Source organism: Homo sapiens, chromosome 10 (genome assembly GCF_000001405.40).
Source record: "Homo sapiens chromosome 10, GRCh38.p14 Primary Assembly".
NCBI classification, from domain to species: Eukaryota; Metazoa; Chordata; class Mammalia; order Primates; family Hominidae; genus Homo; species Homo sapiens.
In genome coordinates this window covers 60,989,190-61,012,531 of record NC_000010.11, presented here as the reverse complement: position 1 = coordinate 61,012,531, position 23,342 = coordinate 60,989,190, and the positions used below count along the sequence as shown (strand labels likewise).

General features: G+C 41.0%; 1 protein-coding gene across 20 annotated transcripts in view, besides 1 other annotated feature; it reads left to right on the top strand.

Moving 5' to 3' along the window:
* Positions 1-10,564: 10,564 nt before the first annotated feature.
* The window catches only part of RHOBTB1 (Rho related BTB domain containing 1), a 141,108-nt gene continuing 128,330 nt past the window's right edge, over positions 10,565-23,342 (top strand). For 11 of the 20 annotated variants that reach the window (XM_047426099.1, XM_047426092.1, XM_024448271.2 and 8 more), the window contains exon 1: positions 11,092-11,133. The gene's annotated coding sequence lies outside the window, so the exon portion shown is untranslated. Of the gene's footprint in view, positions 10,662-11,091; positions 11,134-11,534; positions 11,632-23,342 lie in introns of those variants that run through there. The other 9 variants (XM_006718085.2, NM_001350908.2, NM_001350903.2 and 6 more) reach the window with 2 other exon arrangements.
* Positions 22,647-22,906: an enhancer, noted in NCBI's record as "active region_3395". NCBI's record gives its function as "activates an Ori minimal core promoter by ATAC-STARR-seq in GM12878 lymphoblastoid cells {active_cell/tissue: GM12878}" and the evidence as "EXISTENCE:reporter gene assay evidence [ECO:0000049][PMID:35858748]".

The following is a 23,342-nucleotide window of genomic DNA, read 5'->3' as shown; positions in this document are numbered from 1 at the left end:
AAATCCATGGTTTCCAAACTTTTATGATACTACATCAGTTAGAAATGTTCATTATATGTCCCCAATATTTATTTATTTGTTAACTTAATAATAAGATTGCTTATTTATTACACACACCATTGTACATTATAAAACATACACACAAGTAAATTTGAAAAATCATTTAATGATTAAACATGTAATATTTATTAATATTTTGCTTGCCACAATGTTTCATATTATCATTGGCATTGGCCTATGTCTCGAAATACAATAAATATATTCAAGGCAAGGTTCATCATTAATAAAAGTAAATGTAAACCTATATCTCAGTGGAAGGGAGGAGCTGACTTTTTGTAAGTCTGAATTAGATAGATCATCAGTGTTGCTAACCTCTCCCATTAGGCTAAGAATACAGTAGGAAATCTGTCAACTGCACTGATTTCCTGTTGTTGCTTAAACTTATATTACTAGTATTGTCTTCTCTGCAGAAATCCTTGTAAACCACTTTTCTATTCTGATACTTCTACTTGGTTAAAATTGGAAAATAGAATCTTCAGTTCCTTAAGTGAACACACATAAACATCAATAGAGGCAACACAGTGGAAATGAAAGAAGTGTAAAGACCACATGGTAGCCCCTCCATACAGTGACTTTCCCAATATTTCCTCAGGATATCTCTGAAAGGGAGGTCAAGAGACCAGCTGACCTCTGGGCAAATAAGGGCACCAATTTCAATCTGTTTATTGCACATTTGCAGAGGCTTAGTTTCTTTTATAATAAAAAATGTAAGTGGAAGCTCTAATACTTATTCCTCATGGCCTACTTTGGAGACCAAGAGTAAAAACAGTTGTGGTAGGTAGCTGTAGCTGTTATTGGAAGCATTTGATATTTTACTTGAATAGCAACAGGTCATGGCTATGTTCTAGGCACCCAGCTGCATGTGACTCCTTCATTGTGATCAGTTGGGAACTTTCATAGAGCATTTTTTTCCCCTATTGTAACTAGATAATTCTTTCTCCTCTGAGCTTCAAGCATTCATGACTTTAGAAAAAATAACAAAAAAAGCTGTAAAAGGTATTCGTTCATCTTGAACACCTATTGTACTCTCAGGTTAAGATAAGAGTATTCTTGAAGCCTCAATTATTCTGAGAAGTGCTGCAAAGGGTTATTTACTGGTTAAAGGTCACACCATTACACCTTTCAATTGCACGAGTGATCCTGAAATGATTTGTGACACAATGTGTGTGTAGATTCTATCTAAACTCCTTGTTTCTTTTGTGCTATATTCTTTGTAATTTGTCTTAGTCTGCTTGGGCTGCCATAACAAAATATCATACACTGGGTGGCTTACATGACAGAAATTTGTTTCTCACTGTTCTGGAGGTTGGAAAGTCCAAGATCAAAGTGCCAGCTGATTCAGTTCGGGCTCCCTTCCTGGCTTGCAAGTGACTACCTTCCCAGTATCAGCTCACACCACCTTTCCTCAGTGTATGCATATGAAGAGAGGGAGTGAGTGCTCAGATGTCTCTTCTCATAAGGACACCAATACTATCAGATCAGGGCCCAGTTACTTCCTTAAAGGCCCTGTCTCCAAATACAGTCATATTTGGGGATTAGGGTTTCAACACATGAATCTTGTGGTAACACAAACCTCCATTCTATAATATAATTTATATGCTTGCTTTCAACAAATATTTATTGAATGCTTTCTATGTTCCTGGCACTATAACCAAGTTGCTGTTCTCACTGTAGGGGGAAAACAGCAGACAATGCACACACACATGTTAACTTATGTATTAAAAGGAAAACTAAATTAATTAAGGAGACAAAGAATGAGGAGGTTGAGAAAGGGGGCTATTTGTAGAATGGGTGGTGATGGATTGCTTCTCCAATAGCAGACATGGGAGTAGACATCTGATGTAGCTGAGGAGCAAGACTCTAAATATTAACAGGAAGAGTTCTAGCTCAAAGGTCAAGAGACAGGAGAATGAGGTTGAAAGAGCAAAAGAAAGCCAGAGAATCTGTGACAAGATGTAGGAGAGGACAGTGGTAGAGAAGGAGGTAAGAGAGGTGAAGTGGCAAGCAGGTAAGGCCTTGACAGACAGGGTCCTGTTGTATTGTATTCTGAGACCAATAGAAAGCCATTGAGGGTTTTTTTTTTTTTTTTTGAGCAGAGGACTGACAAGAATTATGATATATACTTTCAAAAACTGTCGCATTAAATGCTATCTGGATAACAGACTATGGGGCAAGACTAAGAGCAGAAAGACAAGTTTAGAGGCTTTTTCGCAAATCCAAGTAAACAATGCTAGTTTGGAAGAGAGTGGACCTAGGATTTGAAATACCTTTGGAAGATGGAGGTATCAGGATTTCCTAATGGATTAGATATGGGATACGAAAGAAAGGATAACAACAACATCAAAATCTTTGCTGGCTTGAAATAATACCGCCGGGTGCGGTAGCTCACACCTGTAATCCCAGCACTTTGGGAGACCAAGGCTGGTGGATCACTTGAGGCCAGGAGTTTGAGATCAGCCTGGCTATCTTGGGGAAACCCCATCTCTACTAAAAAATATGAAAATTAGCTGGGCATGGTCATGTGCCAGCAGCTTTGCCTCTCTTGAACCTGAGAGGCGGAGGTTGCAGTGAGCTGAGATCATGCTACTGCACTTCAGCCTGGGTGACAGAGTAAGACCCTGTATCAGAAAAAAAAAAAAGAAAAAAAAATAATTCTAGGGTTCAAATCAAAAGAGGAATCTAAAATTAAAACCACGTAGAGGCTGTGCTCTCCTACCACTCCATTTCTCCACACACAACTTTTCAAAGGTGCAATTGGTCATTTTTGTACTTGTCTGTTTAGCAGGTGTCTCCTCTCTCATTAGAATGTAAGCTCCTAATGTCTATCTGGTTCCCCCTTATATTACCTGCACCATGCTCAATGCCAACCATTTGCTGAGCCCTCATTACATTCTTTAAAGAATGAATGGGACCAGCCGGAAGAGGTGGCTCACACCAGTAATCCTAGCATTTTGGGAGGCCAAGGCAGGCAGATCACCTGAAGTCAGGATTTCGAGACCGGCCTGACCAACATGGTAAAACCCTGTCTCTACTAAAAATACAAAAAATTAGTGGAGCGTGGTGGTGCATGCCTGTAATCCCAGCTACTTGGGAGGCTGGGGCAGGAGAATCACTTGGACCCAGGAGACAGAGGTTGCAGTGAGCAGAGACGGCCACTACACTCCAGCCTGGGCAACAGAGCTAGATTCCATCTCAAAAAAAAAAAAAAAAAAAAAAAAAAAAGACTAAATGGGACCAGGTGTGGTGACTCATACATGTAATCCCAGCACTTTGGGGGGCCAAGTTGGAGGATGGCTTGAGGGTGGAAGTTCAAGGTTATAGTGAGCTATGATAGTGTCACTGCAGTCCAGCCTGGGCCACAGAGTGAGACCTTGTCTCTAAAAAGGAAAAGAAAATGAGTGAGACCTTGTCTCTAAAAAAGAAAAGAAAAAGGTCGCTTCCAAGATGGCTGAATAGGAACAGGTCTGGTCTACAGCTCCCAGTGAGATCAACACAGAAGACGGGTGATTTCTGCATTTCCAACTGAGGTACTTGTTCATTTCATTGGCACTTGTTGGACAGTGGGTGCAGCCCACGGAGGGTGAGCCAAAGCAGGGTGGTGTGTAACCTCACCCAGGAAGTGCAAGGGGTCAGGGGATTTCCTTTTCCTAGCCAAGGGAAGCTGTGAGTGACTGTACCTGTAGGAACGGCACACTTCTGCCCAAATACTACACTTTTCCCATGGTCTCCACAACCAGCAGACCAGGAGATTCCCTCCCATGCTTGGTTCGGCAGGTCTCATGCCCACAGAACCTTGCTCACAGCTAGCACAGCAGTCTAGGATCAACCTGGGACACTGGAGCTTGTGGGGGAGGGGTGTCCACCATTGCTGAGGCTTGAGTAGGGGGTTCTATGCTCAGAGTGTAAACAAAGTGGCAGGGAAGCTCAAATTGGGCAGTGCCCACCACAGTTCAGTAAGGCCTACTGCCCCTCTAGATTCTACTTCTGGAGGCAGGGCATATACGAACAAAAGTCAGCAGACAGCTTCTGCAGACTTAAACATCCCTGCCTGACAGCTCTGAAGAGAGCAGTGATTCTCCCAGCACAGCGTTTGAGATCTGAGAACAGACAGACTGCCTCCTCAAGTGGGTCCCTGACTCCCATGTAGCCTGACTGGGAGACACCTCCCAGTAGGGGCTGACAGACACCTCATACAGGTGGGTGCCCCTCTGGGACAAAGCTTCCAGAGGAAGGATTGGGCAGCAATATTTGCTGTTCTACAGCCTCTGCTGGTGATACCCAGGCAAACAACGTCTGGAGTGGAGCTCCAGCAAACTCCAACAGACCTGCAGCTGAGGGGCCTGAATGTTAGAGGGAAAACTAACAAACAGAAAGGAATACCATCAACATCAACAAAAAGGACATCCACACCAAAACTCCATGTGTAGGTCACCAACATCAAAGACCAAAGGTAGATAAAACCACAAAGATGAGGAGAAACCAGAGCAGAAAGCCTGAAAATTCCAAAAACCAGAATGCCTCTTCTCATCCAAAGAAACACAACTCCTCACCAGCAAGGGAGCAAAGCTGCATGGAGAATGAGTTTGACGAGCTGACAGAAGTAGGCTTCAGAAGGTCAGTAATAACAATAACTAAAGGAGCATCTTCTAACCATTCTAACCCATCGCAAGGAAGCTTAAAACCTTGAAAAAAGGTTAGACGAATGGCTAACTAGAATAACCAGTGAAGAGAAGAGCTTAAATGACCTGATGGAGCTGAAAACCACAGTACAAGAACTGCGTGAAGCATACACAAGCTTCAATAGCCAATTTGATCAACCAGAAGAAAGGGTATCAGTGATTGAGGATCAAATTAATGAAATAAAGAGAGAAGACAAGATTAAAAATAAAAGAGTGAAAAGAAACGAACAAAGCCTCCAAGAAATATGGGACTATGTGAAAAGACCAAATCTACGTTTGATTGGTGTACCTGAAAGTGATGGGGAGAATGGAACCAAGTTAGAAAACACTCTTCAGGATATTATCCAGGAGAACTTCCCCAACCTAGCAAGGCAGGCCAACATTCAAATTCAGAAAACACAGAGAACACCACAAAGATACTCCTTGAGAAGAGCAACCTCAAGACACCTAATTGTCAGATTCACCAAGATTGAAATGAAGAAAGGAATGTTGAGGGAAGCCAGAGAGAAAGGTCAGGTTACCCACAAAGGGAAGCCTATCAGACTAACAGTGGACCTCTCGGCAGAAACCCTACAAGCCAGAAAAGGGTGGGGGCCAATATTCAACATTCTTAAAGAAAAGAATTTTCAACCCAGAATTTCATATCCAGCCAAACTAAGCTTCATAAGTGAAGGAGAAATAAAATCCTATACAGACAAGCAAATGCTGAGAGATTTTTGTCACCACCCGGCCTGCCTTATAGGAGCTCCTGAAGGAAGCACTAAACATGGAAGGGAACAACCAGTACCAGGCACTGCAAAAACATGCCAAATTGTAAAGACCATCGATGCTATAAAGAAACTGTATCAATTAATGGGTGACGTAACCAGCTGGCATCGTGATGGCGGGATCAAATTCACACATAACAATATTAACCTTAAATGTGAGTGGGCTAAATGCCCCAATTAAAAGACACAGACTGGCAAGTTTGTTGGAGAGGCAAGACCCATCGGTGTGCTGTATTCAGGAGACCCATCTCACATGCAAAGACACACATAGGCTCAAGATGAAAGGATGGGGGAAGATCTGCCGAGCAAGTGGAAGGCAGAGGAAAGCAGGGGTTGCAATCCTGCTCTCTGATAGAATAGACTTTGAACCAACAAAGATCAAAAGAGACAGGGAAGGCCATTACATAATGATAAAGGGATCAACTCAACAAGAAGAGCTACATATTCTAAGTATGTATGCATCCGATACAGGAGCACCCAGGTAGGGTCATGAAGCAAGTTCTTAGAGACCTACAAAGAGACTTAGACTCCCACACAATAATAATGGGAGACTTTGGCACCCCACTGTCAATATTGGACAGATCAATGAGACGGAGAATTGGCAGGGATGTCTGGGACTTGTACTCAGCTCTGGACCAGGCAGACCTGATAGACATCTACAGAACTCTCCACCCCAAATCAACAGAATATACATTCTTATGAGCACCACATCACACTTATTCTAAAATTGATCAAATGGTTGGAGGTAGAAAACTCCTCAGCATATGTAAAAGAATAGAAATTACGACAAACTGTCTCTCAGACCACAGTGCAATCAAATTGGAACACAGGGTTGAGAAACTCACTCAAAACTGAACAACTACATGGAAACTGAACAACCTGCTCCTGAGTGACTATTGGGTAAATAATGAAATGAAGGCAGAAATAAAGATGTTCTTTGAGATCAATGAGAACAAAGACACAATGCACCAGAATCTCTGGGACGCATTTAAAGCAGTGTGTAGAGGGAAATTTGTAGCACTAAATGCCCACATGAGAAAGCAGGAAAGATCTAAAATCAACACCCTGGCATCACAGTTAAAAGAACTAGAGAGGCAAGAGCAGACAAATTCCAAAGCTAGCAGAACATAAGAAATAGCTAAGATCAAAGCAGAACTGAGGGAGCCAGAGACACACAAACATACAAAAAAAACCCTTCAAAAAAATCAATGAATCTAGGAGCTGGTTTTTTGAAAAGATCAACAGGATAGATAGACTGCTAGTAAAACTAATAAAGAAGAAAAGAGGGAAGAATCAAATAGATGCAATAAAAACTGATAAAGGGGATATCATCACCAATCCCACAGAAATACAAACTACCATCAGAGAATACTGTAAACACCTCTATGCAAATAAACTAGAAAATCTAGAAGAAACAGATAAATTCCTGGACACATACACCCTCCCAAGACTAAACCAGGAAGAAGTTGAATCTCTGAATAGACCAATAACAGGTTCCAACAAAACAGTCCAGGACCAGACGGATTCATAGCCGAATTCTACCAGAGGTACAAAGAATAGCTGGTACCATTCCTTCTGAAACTATTCCAATCAATAGAAAAAGAGAGAATCCTCTCTAACTCATTTTATGAGGCCAGCAACATCCTGATACTAAAGCTTGGCAGAGACACAACAAAAAAAGAGAATTTTAGGCCAATATCCCTGATGAACATCGATGCGGAAATCCTCAATAAAATACTGGCAAACCGAATTTAGCACCACATCAAAAAGCTTATCCATCATGATCAAGTCAGCTTCATCCCTGGGATGCAGGCTGGTTAAACATACACAAATCAATAAACATCGTCCATCACATAAACAGAACCAATGACAAAAACCAGATGATTATCTCAATAGATGCAGAAAAGGCCTTCAACAAAATTCAACAGCCTTCCATGCTAAAAACTCTCAATAAATTAGGTATTGAAGGAATGTATCTCAAAATAATAAGAGCTATTTATGACAAACCCACAGCCAATATCATACTGAATGGGCAAAAACTGGAAGCATTCCCTTTGAAAACCAGCACAAGACAAGGATGCCCTCTCTCACCACTCCTATTCAACATAGTATTGGAAGTTCTGGCCAGGGCAATCATGCAAGATAAAGAGATAAAAAGTATTCAATTGGAAAAGAGGAAGTCAAATTGTCCCTGTTTGCAGATGACATGATTGTATATTTAGAAAACCTCATCGTCTCAGCCCAAAATCTCCTTAAGCTGATAAGCAACTTCAGCAAAGTCTCAGGATACAAAATCAATGTGCAAAAATCACAAGCATTCCTATATACCAAGAACAGACAAACAGAGAGCCAAATCATGAGTTAACTCCCATTCACAATTACTACAAAGAGAATAAAATACCTAGGAATCCAACTTACAAGGGATGTGAAGGACTTCTTCAAGGAGAACTACAAACAACTGCTCAACAAAATAAAAGACGACACAAACAAATGGAAGAACATCCCATGCTCATGGATAGGAAGTGAAAATGACCATACTTCCCAAGGTAATTTATAGATTCAATACTATCCCCATCAAGCTACCAGTGACTTTCTTCACGGAATTGGAAAAAACTACTTTAAAGTTCATATGGAACTGAAAAAGAGCCCACATTGCCAAGACAATCCTAAGCAAAAAGAAAAAGCTGGAGGCATCACACTACCTGACTCCAAACTATACTACAAGGCTACAGTAACTAAAACAGCATTGTACTGGTACCAAAACAGAGATATAGACCAATGAAACAGAACAAAGGCATCAGAAATAACACCACACATCTACAACCATCTGATCTTTGACAAACCTGACAAAAACACTATTTAATAAACGGTGCTGGGAAAACTGGCTAGCCATATGTAGAAAGCTGAAACTGGATCCCTTCCTTATACCTTACACAAAAATTAACTCGAGATGGATTAAAAACTTAAATGTAAGACCTAAAGCCATAAAATCCCTAGAAGAAAACCTAGGCAATACCATTCAGGACATAGGCATGGGCAAAGACTTCATGACTAAAACACCAAAAGCAATGGCAACAAAAGTCAAATAGACAAATGGGGTCTAATTAAACTAAAAAGCTTCTGCACAGCAAAAGAAAATATCATCAGAGTGACCAGGCAACCTACAAAATTGGAGAAAAATTTTGCAATCTATCCATCTGACAAAGCACTAATATCAGAATCTACAAATAACTTAAACAAATTTACAAGAAAAAAACAAACAACCCCATCAAAAAGTGGGCAAAGGATATGAACAGACACTTCTCAAAAGAAGACATTTATGCTGCCAATAGACATGAAAAAATGCTCATCATCACTGGCCATCAGAGAAATGCAAATCAAAACCATAATGAGATACCATCTCACACCAGTTAGAATGGCGATCATTAAAAAGTCAGGAAACCACAGATGCTGGAGAGGATGTGGAGAAATAGGAACGCTTTTACACTGTTGGTGGGAGTGTAAATTAGTTCAACCATTGTGGAAAACAGTGTGGTGATTCCTCAAGGATCTAGAACTAGAAAGACCATTTGACCCTGTAATCCCATAACTGGGTATATACCCAAAGGATTATAAATCATGCTACTATAAAGACACATGCACATGTATGTTTATTGCGGCACTATTCACAATAGCAACCAACCCAAATGTCCATCAATAATAGACTGGATAAAGAAAATGTGGCACATATACACCATGGAATACTATACAGCCATAAAAAAGGATGAGTTCATGTCCTTTGCAGGGACATGGATGAAGCTGGAAACCATCATTCTCAGCAAACTAACACAGGAACAGAGAACCAAACACCGCATGTTCTCACTCATAAGTGGAAGTTGAACAATGAGAACACAGGGACACAGGGAGGGGAACATCACACACCAAGGCCTGTTGGGTGGTGGTGGGCTGCGGGAGGGATAGCTTTTGGAGAAATACCTAATGTAAGTGATGAGTTGATGGGTGCAGCAACCCAACATGGCACATGTATACCTATGTAACAAACCAGCAGGTTGTGCACATGTACCCTAGAATTTAAAGTATTATAATAATAATAAGAAGAAGAAGAAGAAAAGAAATGAAGAATGAATGGATGTCCAAAGCTTTGAGCAATCTTTAAATTATATCTTATTAGAAAGAGAAACAGTTGAAGGAAATAGAGATATTGAAAAGGAAAGAATTCATTAAAAGGCAACTAGGACTATAAAGGTTCTGTTTTCTAGCATAACCATTTGCATAAACTCCAAGACAAAACCAATTTTACTACTTCAAAGAGTTGTTGGATCTCCTATACTATCAGCTCGTTTCGTTCGTTCTTCTGTCAATAGAGTTTTACCCTGATCTGACATCCCAGCTATATCATACTTTTAATCTACTTAATTCTTAGAAAAGCATTATTTCTGCTAAAAATAATAGCTATCTCTAGCCCTTCATTACGCAAGCTCATGCAAAAAAATGGTAAAACTGCAGTTAGGTGTACAGATAATTTTCTAATCTTATTTCCAATGATTGCAGACTGCCTCTCCCATAAAGTTTTACACCAGCTGTTAAAAGCTCTTCAAACTGATTTTGTTGCATCTTATTTTTACCTCTCCTTAATATCAAAGGGAAAATGAAAAAGAAGAGTAAAAAGACCAAAAGTTCTGTAGATGAGGAAGTGCAGGATAGTGATTGGCCTAGATCATCTTGACCACTGGAAGGTCTGAACTATTCAAAGGTGGCCACACTTAGAGCTTGGTGCACAGCAAACGTATAAATGTGCGGGTTTCTAATATTAATTGTTTATTTAAAAATTAAGTTCCTTACACCCTGTCGCTGACATGTCACTAGCTTGGGGCCTCCAAAGGCGAACGTGCAGAAGGTTGCAGTAAGGATGGAGAGTCTCTATGTAAACGACACGACAGGACCATGTGTAACGACTAAGTAACGACAGGACCATTAGTAAACGACTAAGCCATGTGTGATTTGTGATGTCAGCAGAACCCCCTGATGGAATCCTTGAGTTTCCATCAGTTGGCTAGAGAACGTCCCTATAAGAAAAGGCTGACCCTTGACATCGCCAGAAACTTTCCCCAGACTTGGCGTCCATTTGCAGGAGATGCCCCCGCAAGTCCCAGAGGTGGGTGGGTCCTGGGGAGGCCTCCAGGAAGGGCGGCCCCTCGGGCCCTGAGCGGAGAATGGCGAGGCCGCAGGCACTGGGGCCACAGGGGCCAGGTCCAAAGACCGGGGTCCCAGTAGGAGCCCCACGCGCCAGCGGGTGACAGCCCTGGGGGGCGGGGGGAGGCGGCCCAGGGCTCCCGGGACCGCCTAGGCGTTGGGGCCCCGCCCGCAGGACTGTCCGGCAGGCCGCGAGGATGTGGAGGGACCCGTGGTCCCCGCCCCGCAGGGCGGCGGCTGCCGGGCCGGGAGCGAGGTGGCGGAACGGGGACTGTGGCCCGGGATGCAGGCGGGGGAGGCGGCCGAGGTGGGAGAGGGCGGGGTCGGCGGGGCGGGGCGGGGTCGGCGCTGTCCCGGCGGCTTTACAAAGCCCGCGCCAGCCTCGGCCGCCCGGCGGGACCCAGAGCCGCCGCGGGAGCTTCCAGCGTCCCCAGGTAGCGCGGGCGTCGCGGGGCGTGGCGGGGCGGGAGCGCGCCCGGGAGGAGCCGCGCCAGGGTGGGCGGGATTATGGGGGGTCTCTCTGCCCACCCGCAGTCCCCACATCCGCAGGCTCATGGGGACGCGAGAGCTTGGAGCATCCCTTTGCACCCTTGAAAGGAGGGTGACCTGGTTACCTTTCGCTGACCTCCTCACAGCTAGCCCAGCTGCTCTGACAAAGCACAGGGCCCCAGAGGGTGCTTGCTTCCAGAATACTTTGGGTGTCTTGAGCAGCCTCCTACCTAAGCGTCCCCCAGCACACACACACACACACACGCGTGCGCGCGCGCGCACTCACACACACACACACACTGGCGGAGGCGGGGGTGGCCAGAGGGATTAGAGAGATAAAGTCACTGTCAGTCAGAAAAGATAAGAATCTGGGCTGGACGTGCCACACTGGGGTCTTCTGAAAGTAGGCGCAGCATCTGCAGCTCCTCATGCCCGGCCCTAAGGTGATGCGGGATTGATTTTTCTTGGTTTGTTAGCCGTGAAAGCCCCGGGCTGTAAAAAGGTTTGGGTCAAGAACTAGACTTTGATTTATTGAGGCTTGCTTTGCCCTGCTATGCCACACCTTGTGGTGTCTGGAGATGGGGTATTTTGGAGCACTCATACAAAGTTTGAACTGGTATTCAAGTGAGCTTGAATACTCACTTGATTTTTAACACTTGGGAATTAAAAAAAAATGAAGATATACATTCTCTTAGTTTAAATTGAGTTTTATTTTTCAATACACATGCATGTATTTTAAGAGAAGTAATCACTGGTGATGTCACTCAAATAATGAGTCCAGCAGGTGTGGCATTGTTAGAATTTGAATTCGAAACTAAGTTTACCGTATAGTTTTAGAGAAATTGACTGCTTCTTTATGTGCCTTTTTATGCGCTGTATTACTGAGAGGTGTGTGTGCTGAGAATCCTGTCGCATCATCTTGCTCTTGGTGAGAAGGTCTCCCCTGGTGTTGGCCACCAGATCTGGGAAAAAACCCAAAATATATATTTTTTATTACTAGTGTTTCAGTGTGTGCAACTCTGCTTCTTGGGCCGCTAGCCTTAGTCTCTGGTGAGAAGAAGTAGGTATCAAAAATGTGCCCTAGACACATTTGGGAGCAAGGAGGAAGGCTGTAGATTTCTTTTTCCCCATTAAAGTTTTCATGTATTGGCAATTTAAACCCCAAAGCATTGTTTACCACCTGTCAGATGCACTCGGAAGCGTAAGGATTAACTAATAAAAGATTTGTAAAATGCTTCCTGAGTCTAAAATTCTATAAATATGCTAAATAGTAATAATCCACCCATTGTTAAATTTATGTAGCTGCTTATGCCATGCATGTAAGATGATTTAGATGCATGTTTCCTGTCAATTAAACAATGAGTTTGGAGCAAAATAACGAGTTCAGTTCACATCCTATGAAACTTTGAAATAAAATTTCTCCCATAAAGCAACAGCAGAGAATCGTAAAATAAGCTGCATTTCAAAAAGCTGTATATGAAATGGCATTTACCTTACGGTTGGGTGAAGAGGGACCCAGTGAACTTCTGAAACTAAGAAATAGTCAGCCCTGGTTCATGTGTGTCTGAACCATAAACATTCCCTAACAGGGAGGGCATGCAGGTTTTTGTGGAATAGCCTCATAGCTTTCCAGTCTAATCCATGAAATATGCCTCTTGGCATTTTAAGGTTGAATTCAACCTGTGGTTTTGTTCACAGACAATGAAGAAAATCTGTATACCTACTTGGATTAATTATTGATTCCTCCAATATCATGGGCTTGGTTTTGAAGCATCCTTAACACCAGCTATCATTTTAATATCCTGCAGATAATTGGTTTGTTCCCAGTTGATTTAGTGGCATATTAACATTTTTCTCTTAGCATGGTTTGAATAACAAAGTGTGTCGTTCTTCTGTTTACCGACATCCTAGAGTAAAACCCGTTTCTTATACGCTACTTTTAAGTATAAATACTGATACAAGGGATCTTTTTTGTTGTTGTTTTAGGTAGACAACTCTAGATTTACCACTAGCAGGTTAAGCTGTGACCTTAATGAAGTTGGGGATGTCTTTTTTTTGACACTTGTCCATTTTAGTGGACTTTTCTTTTCATTTCCTTCACTAAAATTTGGATGCGCAGTTGCTAAATAGGCTCCATTCCAGTATTCTACAACCTTCCCTCTGCCGCCACTCCTCCTTTATCCAAGTAACTTAACCTCTGCTCTACTTTGTCTTGATTTGACAACAAGTTGGTACAGGTGAAAGTGCACTAGGTGAAAAATAAAAGAGCTTGCATTTCCGGAGCAGCTGTGATATACTAGGCACTGTGCCACAATATCTCATTAAATTCTTGTAATAATCTGGTGAGGCAGGCGTTGTCTGTGTTTCACAGAAAAGAAAACTGAGGCTCAAAGAAGCTTTCATGCCCAAGGATGAGCAGTTTATGAATAGAAAAGCCAGGATTTGAACCACTACAGTCTGGTACTTCCTGCTGCGTTGCAGTCTCTAAGAAGAGTTCACATTCTGCACTGAAGTGTGGAAGAGTTCTTCTATTAATTAGCCATTTGACCTCAGAGAAGTCCTTTAAACCCTCTGGGCCTCTGGTTTCCTTTCACTAGCTTTGGATTAAATTATCTCTCAGAGATAGAAGAGACAGTTCCAGGATTTTGGATGCCAAGCACATAAGCTATTTCTCCCACAGGATCCCAGCATATGCTCTCCCTTCCCCTTTTTCCACCCCCTTCCTTCCCGTTTTTCTTCTTTTCTTCCTTTAGGTCTAAGTAAATTGCACTTCCTCTAGGAGTCTTCTTCTGAACACCTTTCTGTTCTTCTCTATCTCAGCCCTCAGTTATCCCTCACGGAGCCGATTACAAACCGAAGTCTCTTATTTATATTTGTTTAATATGACTGTTGTTTTTGTCTTCTTCCCCATCACTCCTTACTTCCCCATCAGAATGTAGGCTGCATAGGCCAGAACTCTGTTTTCTGACTTTTTTCATTACTGTATTCCCAGGGCCTAGCACAGTGATGAATAGCACATAGTTGTTGGTCTGTAAGTATGTTTGAATAAGTAATTATCTCTTATAAAAGACACGTGTGAATGGCTAATATATTGTCCCTTCCTTGGGAAAGCCTAAATGAAGCATCATTGATCTTATAGTGTTAGAGAGGGTGAGCCTGAATTATGAATGGAGATCTGAGTACCATAATGGAGACGACAGGGCCGCCCTCAGACACACAGGACAAATGGACACACTGCACCTAGTACAACCCCATATTTTACGGCAGAGGAAACTGAAGCTCAGAATGATAATAGAAATTTAGGTCTAGACAATACCTTAGAGATCAGCTAATAGTCTCAGCCATTGTTTTATTGATGAGCAAACTGAAGCCCCCCAAAACAGACCATAAGCTATAGAACCTAAGCCTTCTGACTTATAAACAGCATTCTTTTCACTCAGATCAAAAATAGTGAGGACCACCCAGTCAACAGCAGTAAGGAGCTTTGGACAATGATGCTTTCTTTCAGAAATTCAAAAGAGCCTTAGGTTGCCCAGACCAATCCTGAGTAGCAGCATTAGAACATCTTAGTATGTATAACCTATTTTTAAATTTCTTCTGGTCTCTATAAACTTCGGTGACACATTTACTATTTTAATAATCCATCAAGCAGCCTTTTAATACTTATCATTAGTTTACCAATTCTATTTAAATGCTTGGACAGTCCAAATAGAAAATTTACAGGGCTGAGCATTTAACACTGGTGTGATAGATTAAAGATACATTTAAAAGATGATTGCTAGTTTGAACCTCAAAATATTGATGGCTTATCTTTAAGCACCAAAATGTTAACTTTTCTTCTCTAACATAGACAGCAATCCTTGCTAAAGTATTACATTTTATAAACAAACAGTTCTTAAAGTTTAGAGGGCATAAAAATCATCTGGAAGGCTTTTTAAAATCACAGATTGCTTGGAGCCATTATGCACAGTTCTGAATTAATAGGTTTGAGATTGCACCCACACAACTGCATTTTGACAAATATCTTTGGTGATTTCTCAATCAAATGGTCCGAAGATCTCATTTTGAGATCCAATCACAATTTTGATATCTTTTTAATTTCCCCAGATTCTTCCTAAGAGGATATTTTTAAAAAAGATATTTCGGGAGGAACTCAGTGTGTTTGAATCCAGCTAATAGCAGAGATGATTAAAATTGTTTGCTAGGTATGATGACATTTGTTTCATTGTAGCAAAAGCTGTGTGTGTGTGTGTGTGTGTGTGTGTGTGTGTGTGTGTGTACATAACCATGCTGTGGCTACTAGACTTGATATTGGCTCAAATCAAGCATGTTCAAAAATGTTTCTATTGGACCACAAAAATAAATTGATAAGTAGTAATAAGAGTTGAGTGTTAAGTTTCATGAGGAAATAGTGAAGTCCCTTGTTCTCCAGATGGTTACATTCTGTACAGCTGAGAGATAAGATTAATATCCACAAAACATTCAGGATAAGTTTGCAAATCAAATACAGGATGCCTAGTTAAATCTGGATTTCAAATACACAACAAATCATGTTTTAGTAAAATTGTGTCTCCCGTATAATATTTTTATTTGCTAAATCTGGCATTCCTGATCAGAGAACATTAGTGTTCAGTGTCATTAGTTTCTAGAAGTAAGGGTGCTGAGTGGTGGTTGTTAAGCTTAATGAAATTGATAAAAGCTCTGGACGTCCTCCTGAGAAAAATGCCCCCATGGCACATTCCAACAGCCCTCGCATAACCATCCCTTGGGTTCCAGGCTGCCGAAGCTCTCGGGGACATCAGGTCATCTACAGTGGGGGACATCAGGTCATCTACAATGGTGGACAGCGAGGCAAATTCCTCAGGCTATTTTCTCTGGGCTGGAAAGGTCTGGAAGGTGACTGTGAAAAGTATAGTTGAACTAGGCCTTAAAGAGCAGTAGAATTTAGCTGGATTGTGGGTGGGAAGACATCTGAAGCTTTGAAAGGAGGCAGATTCCCTCAGGCCTTGAGGGTATTTAGTTCAGAATACTGATAAATCAGCTTGGGCAGGTAAAAAAAAGAACTGGATTGTGGACAGTCTTAAGTTCTGAAGGGTTTAGACTGCCCATGTTGGAAAATAAAGAGTCTTCATTGATATGTAAGTGGGGAGAACATGATCAAACTAAAGGAAAGAATAAGAAAAATCATAGGAAGCCCAAGCTCCAGAGTCAATCAGCCTGGTAAGAGCTCCTCCATTTACGAGCTATGAGTTCTTTGACTTGTGAGCAACTTCTGTGAGTCCCCATCTCCTGAGTTGTGAATTGGGAATAATAATAGAAGCTACTAATGGGGTTGTTGTGAGAATAAAATGAAGTTGTTTGGTGCTTAGCACAGTGTGTGATACTGCATAAATATTCAATTAATGGTGCATAAATACTATGATATGCTCCTGCTGCCCCTAATATTGTTCAAGAAAGGCAAGTCTCAGCAACCTGCTTGAACCTGATTTTTTTTTTTATCTTGGGGGAAGTGAAAAAAAGAGGAAAATGATTGATTTCTGGATTTGAATATAGCTTTAAAATCTCCCTTTTCCAAGTTGAAATTGCATTAACAAAAAACAATAAGGGCAGAAACAAGTGAGCAAAATGCTGTGTGTACTTCTGAGATTTTTTAAATAAGTACATTCAACCCTTTATTATTTCTCCTAAGAGGAAATATTATGGATAATTCAGATAATTTACTCTGATCCAAATAAACATTTTCAAATTGTATGTGTTACTCTTAATAGCAGGTTTGCCATCTTTTTTGGCCAATATTTAAATTAATCAGCGTGTGAATGTTGTTCCCCAAAGCCTTTTAAACAGTAAGATAAAATGAGGTTATCAGAGATAATTTGCAAAGCAGCCAGGTTTCCCTTGAGTAGGTAATAAGGCTGACCACTAATTTTGGAAATGATATCTTGGGTGCTCTGGAGCCAGACTGCTTAGGTTCCAATCTCTGATGGTTCCTCCCCCAGGCCAGTCATTTTGCTTCTCTACACCTTAGTTTCTTCCTATAGGTAAAATAAAAGTAGTAACATCCCTTCCTCAAAGGTATGTGCACTGAGTCCTCAGTAAGGTGCCTGGTACACAGTAAGCATTTGCCAGCATGTAAGAATTTCCCAGCATGGAATTTTGTGACCAAAGCAATATAGTCCTCTTACTGGTATATTATTTTCTTTGATATACTCATAAATAATTTAGTTCAAGAAAGCATCTAATAATGTGGGAGCTATTTATGATCTTTAGTCACACCTTAATGTATTGATGTACGCAGCCAGGGTTGTTTAAACCATTTTCCAAGCCATGGAGTACAATGTTACTCCATGGCTTGGAAAATTTGAAAGAATTTTTAGCCGCATCTTTCATTATGTGCTCTGTTTTTTGTTTTGTTTTGTTTTGTTTTTTTACTTATCTATCTTCAACTGTGACAGGGTGATTGGTGCCTTTCTAAAGAGCTTTGGGTTTCTTGTGCATTAAAGTGTCTGGGCCCTAGAATTTACTTGGCTCATAAACTTATGAGATGGAACAATACAAGATTGGTTTAAGGTACATCATAGTTGCATGTATGACAGTTATTTTTTATTTAGTTTATGCTAAGCACCTGGAGAGCATCTCCCACAGTGCCTTAAAGATAGTAGACTCAAATATTTATTGAATGAATTTAATGTATAATAAAATGCATTGCATTTTTTTTCCTGAGGATATCTTTCCCTCACATTAGAAAATCTAACTTTTTAAAAAAAGAGAAGGGAAACATCATGCAGATATTTCAAGACTGAAGTATTATGGAAAATGTGAACTTGGAGATCTACCATTTGTATTTTCTGGAAGTGCTATCATTTTCACAAGCCTGTTTCTCCCATAGGGTCTTTGCATTATTAGCTGTTACGTTTCTCTGGAATATTCTTCCCTCAGATGGTGCTTGGCCCAGATAAGATGTCACCTCCTCAGAGAAGTCCTCCCTGACCACCTAATCTCACTCACTTTCTATTACATCACTTTGTTTTATTTATTGTAGTATACTACCATTTGATTATTTCATTTTTTAATTGCTTATCCTCATCCTTACTGGACTAGAAGTACCCTGAGGTCAGAGGTCAAGCCTGCATGTTTACTGTTGTCTTCCCAGGATCTATTATAGTGCCAGGCATTTCACAGATACTCAACAAATATTTTGTCAATTCGTTGAATTAATAAAGATCAGGATATGGTTTTTTAGTGTTATCCTAACACATAGCAATAATTTCTAATATTTTGAGTCACATTTACCTTTCAGAATTGGATTAAAATTTTGAAACTCCTCCCCAGTGAAAATTTACATACACAATTTTTTGCATATAATTTAAGTTCATGGATCTCAGGCTAAGAACCTCAGCTCTAAAAGTGTATATACAAATATTAAGAAAATCTAATTGCACTATTGAGCTAAATGTCACCAAAAAATTAATTACTACAAAAGAATTATAAATTTTAATGCTCATATTTTTACAGTAATCAATTACATGTTGCCTTTGGAGAATTTTGCAACCCTCCAGAGGAAAAAAAAAAGACTACCTATAAATGTTATATATTTTATTTATATGCTGGAAAGGATTTAGGGCCTACAGAAAAAGGCTAATAAAATATACACCGTAGAGCAATATAAAATGTATTTCAAATAGGTAAGAAAAAATGAGTCAAAGGAAAAAAATAAGGCTAAGAACATAAGATAGGGCCATGAGAGAGATTCATACTGAAAATTTATGCCATGAAATTCAACACTCTTGCTAGAAGATAGTAACAAATTTTGTTCTCAGTTTTTGAGCAGGCAATGCAAAGGAGAAAAAAATCAGTTATGCCTTGCAGAGGGTCATATTTTATATATACTTACACATGAATATATGCATATGTATATAATAGAAACTACCTCTTAAAAGAAGAAAGCTTGAGTATTGTAATAAGGAATAAAGAGATATATTTCTGGTGTTTTGTTTTTGGCATGTGCCCTTGTAGCTGAGCCTGAAATAACCCATTAAAAAATGCTTTAAAATGACTAGCACTTTGAACGTTTATAATTAAGGTTTTATGGCTTATTGTAATTTTTGTCAGCAGTAGACCTTTGGAAAGAGGCCTCATTACACCAGTAAGAAGAGATGGAGCTGGTGCAATGAAGACAATGGGTTTTCTCCATTTTCTTACAGCTCCTCTTTTTACCTAACCAAGCAGAGAGACACGTCCCCTCCATCATTCCACCATTTCCATTGTTACACACTATTTAATAAAATGCCCGAAGCCCTCGTTCTCTTCTTAAAGAGGCATGCACCTAAGACATTGACTAAAGCAAGTTATTCCTGCTAACCTTAGTTTCCTTGGATAGGAGTCTATCTGGGACTTCTACGATTTCTTTCTTTGAGAGAGCAAATACAATAACTGGCTTCTTTAGAACATTATGTGGATTTGTGGCATTCTCTGTGGGGCTATAAATGGATCACATTGACAGCTTTATTTGTCATTCTTAAATGGAATGTGTTTTTTTCCCCTTTGTGTTAGATCAAAATCAGATGGCATTTCTTATTTCAATGTGGAATGTTTTTACTCTCATAATTGCAGAAGTGCATTCATAACTGATACTATTCTAATTTACAAAATTTGTGTTTCATGATTTGGGGGCATGAGAAAAATGTGACTGAGGGAAAACATCTTATGCAACATTTGAGTTTCGCCTATTTATTGAGATCCTGATACAGTTGCTAGAATTCTGTCACCATATGGAAGCAGAGACAATTATATTGCATTTGATGACATAAATTTTAGAAGCTAAGATATAAAAAGGCATATCCAGCAGAATATCTACAATCCAGAGACTTAGGCATTTTTGAAATATCTTCTCTCCTTTGTGTCCCCTCCAGCATGTCTGTGGACTTTGTCCTTCATTCCTCCCCTTGTAATGACTCTTATTCAATATATACAGTAGCGAAAATGAAGATAATAGGATTGGAAAATACTACCTTCATATCTTAGCACACATCTTATATCATAAAACCAGTTACATCTGCTCAGGTGAAATGTTTCATTCAAAAACCCCTATTATTCCCATTCACCCACTACTAAGCGTGAATGAGAAGGTAAATCTTCCTACTTTCGTTTCTTATATCCATTCAAGGCTTTCAATGCTCTTGTGACTGACCCCAGTTCTGTGCAAAATGTACCCCAGGATTTAAAAATCCTGAGTTGGATTTTTAAATGCCAGCCTAGGGGTACATGTTTCTCACTGAATTTATGTCTTTTCATACTGATTTCACACACTCACACTTTCAAAAAAGTTGTCTTTATTGATAATCTACTATGTGTTAGACACCGAATTGCATCAGATACTCTCTGCCTCCATTTAGCCTATGGACTAGAAGGGGAAGACAGACAATAAAAGAATGACACACATGAATATGGAACCGAAACTCTTCTAAGTGCTACAAAAGAGAGTTAGAAGGTTCTGTAAAATGAGATCCAAATGATGCACAGGCATCAACTAGACCGGGCATACACACAGAAGGCATGCTACATGGGGAAGTCCTCTAGAAGGAGACAGAACAGGCAGCATGAAAGACTGAGGGAAGGTCGGGTGCGGTGGCTCATGTCTGTAATCCCAGCACTTTGGGAGGCTGAGGCGGGTGGATCACAAGGTCAGGAGTTTGAGACCAGCCTGGCCAACATGGTGAAACCCCGTCTCTACTAAAAAAATACAAAAATTAGCCGGGCATGGTGGCATGCGCTTGTAATCCCAGCTGCTCAGGAGGCTGAGGCAGGAGAATTGCTTGAACCCAGGAGGCAGAGGTTGCAGTGAGCCAGGATTGCACCACTGCACTCCAGCCTGCGTGACAGAGCAAGATTCTGTCTCAAAAAAAAAAAAAAAAAGTACTGAGGGAAGGCCACACTGTCTGGAGTGCAGAAGAGGAGTGAACTGCTTAAGTCTGGGGATGTCATCAGGTCCATCACCAAGGGAGCCTTTTTAGCCATATCAAGAAATATGCCTTTATCCTAGGACCAGTGAGAAGATTGAGGATTTTTGTTGTTTATCGTTTTTTTGGTGGGGGTGTGGGGAGTGCTGTAGTTAGTTACATCATCAATTTTACATTTTGAAAATATATTTCTGGCTACCGTGTGGAATATGGGTTGGCAAGGGGGAAGAGTATGCATATCAGTGAAATATTTCAGTAGAGAGATAGTGATACCCTGGCCTAAAGGAGAAGGATGAGGTGTCAGTGACTTCCAAAAGGTGAATGGATTCAAGAGATATGTAGGAGGTAAAATTGACAGGCCACCTTCTGTGATATCTATGTGCACCCCATGAGGAAGTGTCAGGGAACAATGGTGGAGGAACATGTGTGTGAAAACAGATGCTAAGTTCAGTGTTGGATGTGTTGAGTTTGAGATGTCTTGAGACATCACGGGAGACAGCAGACAGACATTGGATTATGGGTGTGGGGCTTGTCAGAGATATAAACTTCTGACTCATTGTGACATTCATAGGTCTGGAGGCAGATAAGATTGCTTAGAGAAAGATAATGAAGCAAGTTATAGAAGAAAACACTGAGGCCAAAATGCCTGGAGGAAATCAAACCCATAATGGCCCAGTAGTGAAAGATGAGCCCACAGAGGATGGAAGAATAGCAAAAGAAACAGAAGGAAATGCAGGGATTCCTGGGTCATGGGGGGCAGAGGAGCAAGGGTTCTAGGAAAGTAGCAGTGGTCAGCTGAGTTGAAAGAAGACTGAGAAATGTGTGTTTTATTGAGCACGGATGGAGAATACTGGTCAGGAGAGAATTATTTTTGAATTAAAATAAAGAGAAATTGCTAAGTGATATGTACAGGAAATACAGTTGTAACTGGTTCTGTCTGTCGTCCTGCCTGTTTGAGAGTATTTTACGTGTTCATGTCTTGCATCTGTCTCAAAAAGATTCTTGGGGAGTAGACAAGATAGAGAGAAAAATCATTGGCCTATTGGTGTCCACTAGAAAGAGAGAGAAACTAGGATGGAGTTTGGGCATAGAACAGTCTGAGGTTGGCCGGGCACGGTGGCTGACGCCTGTAATCCCAGCACTTTGGGAGGCCGAGGCGGGCAGATCACGAGGTCAGGAGATCGAGACCATCCTGGCTAACATGGTGAAACCCCGACTCTACTAAAAAATACAAAAAATTATCCAGGCGTGGTGGCGGGCGCCTGTAGTCCCAGCTACTCGGGAGGCTGAGGCAGGAGAATGGCATGAACTCAGGAGGCGGAGCTTGCAGTGAGCCGAGATCGCGCCACTGCACTCCAGCCTAGGCGACAGAACGAGACTCCATCTCAAAAAAAAAAAAAAAAAAAAAAGGACATTCTGAGGTTCTGAGGTCTGAATTGGAGAGAAAAGATTGAACCTGCATACCAAGAGTATTGTATGAGCACAGCCCCACCTGTTTCTCCCATCAGTGGTGCTCCTACAGCCAGGGTAAATAAATGTCACGAAGCAGTGCTGGCTTGCCTCTCCCACCTGCTTGCATTGCTGTGTGGGGAGAGAGCAGGGGTGGAGGGAGCCTAGGACATCACAGAGCACATGTCTGGGGACTTCCCTGAGCTACAGCCTCAGTTTTCCTTCCTGCTTCTGCTTCAGCACCAAAGTTGGAAACCTACCCAGAGTAGGGGCAAAGTGGACGTCACTGTCTCAGCACAGGAAACAAGGTGCTAAGGCAGAGGTTAGACTGAACTGCTGTGAGCTGTCACTGGGTGGTAAGAGAAGAAAGATGAGTGTCTATGATTATTTGCAGTAGTTTGCCTATGAAGAGGAAGTGAGAGATTAGCGGGCAACTGGAGAGAGATAAGGCTGAGTAAACATTTATTCATTCAACAAGTATCAACGTATCTTATATGTACTAGGCATTAGGACTAGGACAGGCACCAGGAAGACATTTTCCGTCCCTCATGGAAAATCTACCATAAAATATACTTATGCAATGAAATAAATTCATGTGATAATCTCAAATGCATTTTGTAATCTGATGTCTTAAAACAAGTGCAACATTTTCCCTCAGATTTAAATACTTACTTGATTTTTATAAAACAGTCAAATTTGTGTTTTAAGAAAGAAAAATAACACATCAACTTCTACTTTTTTTCTCTCTC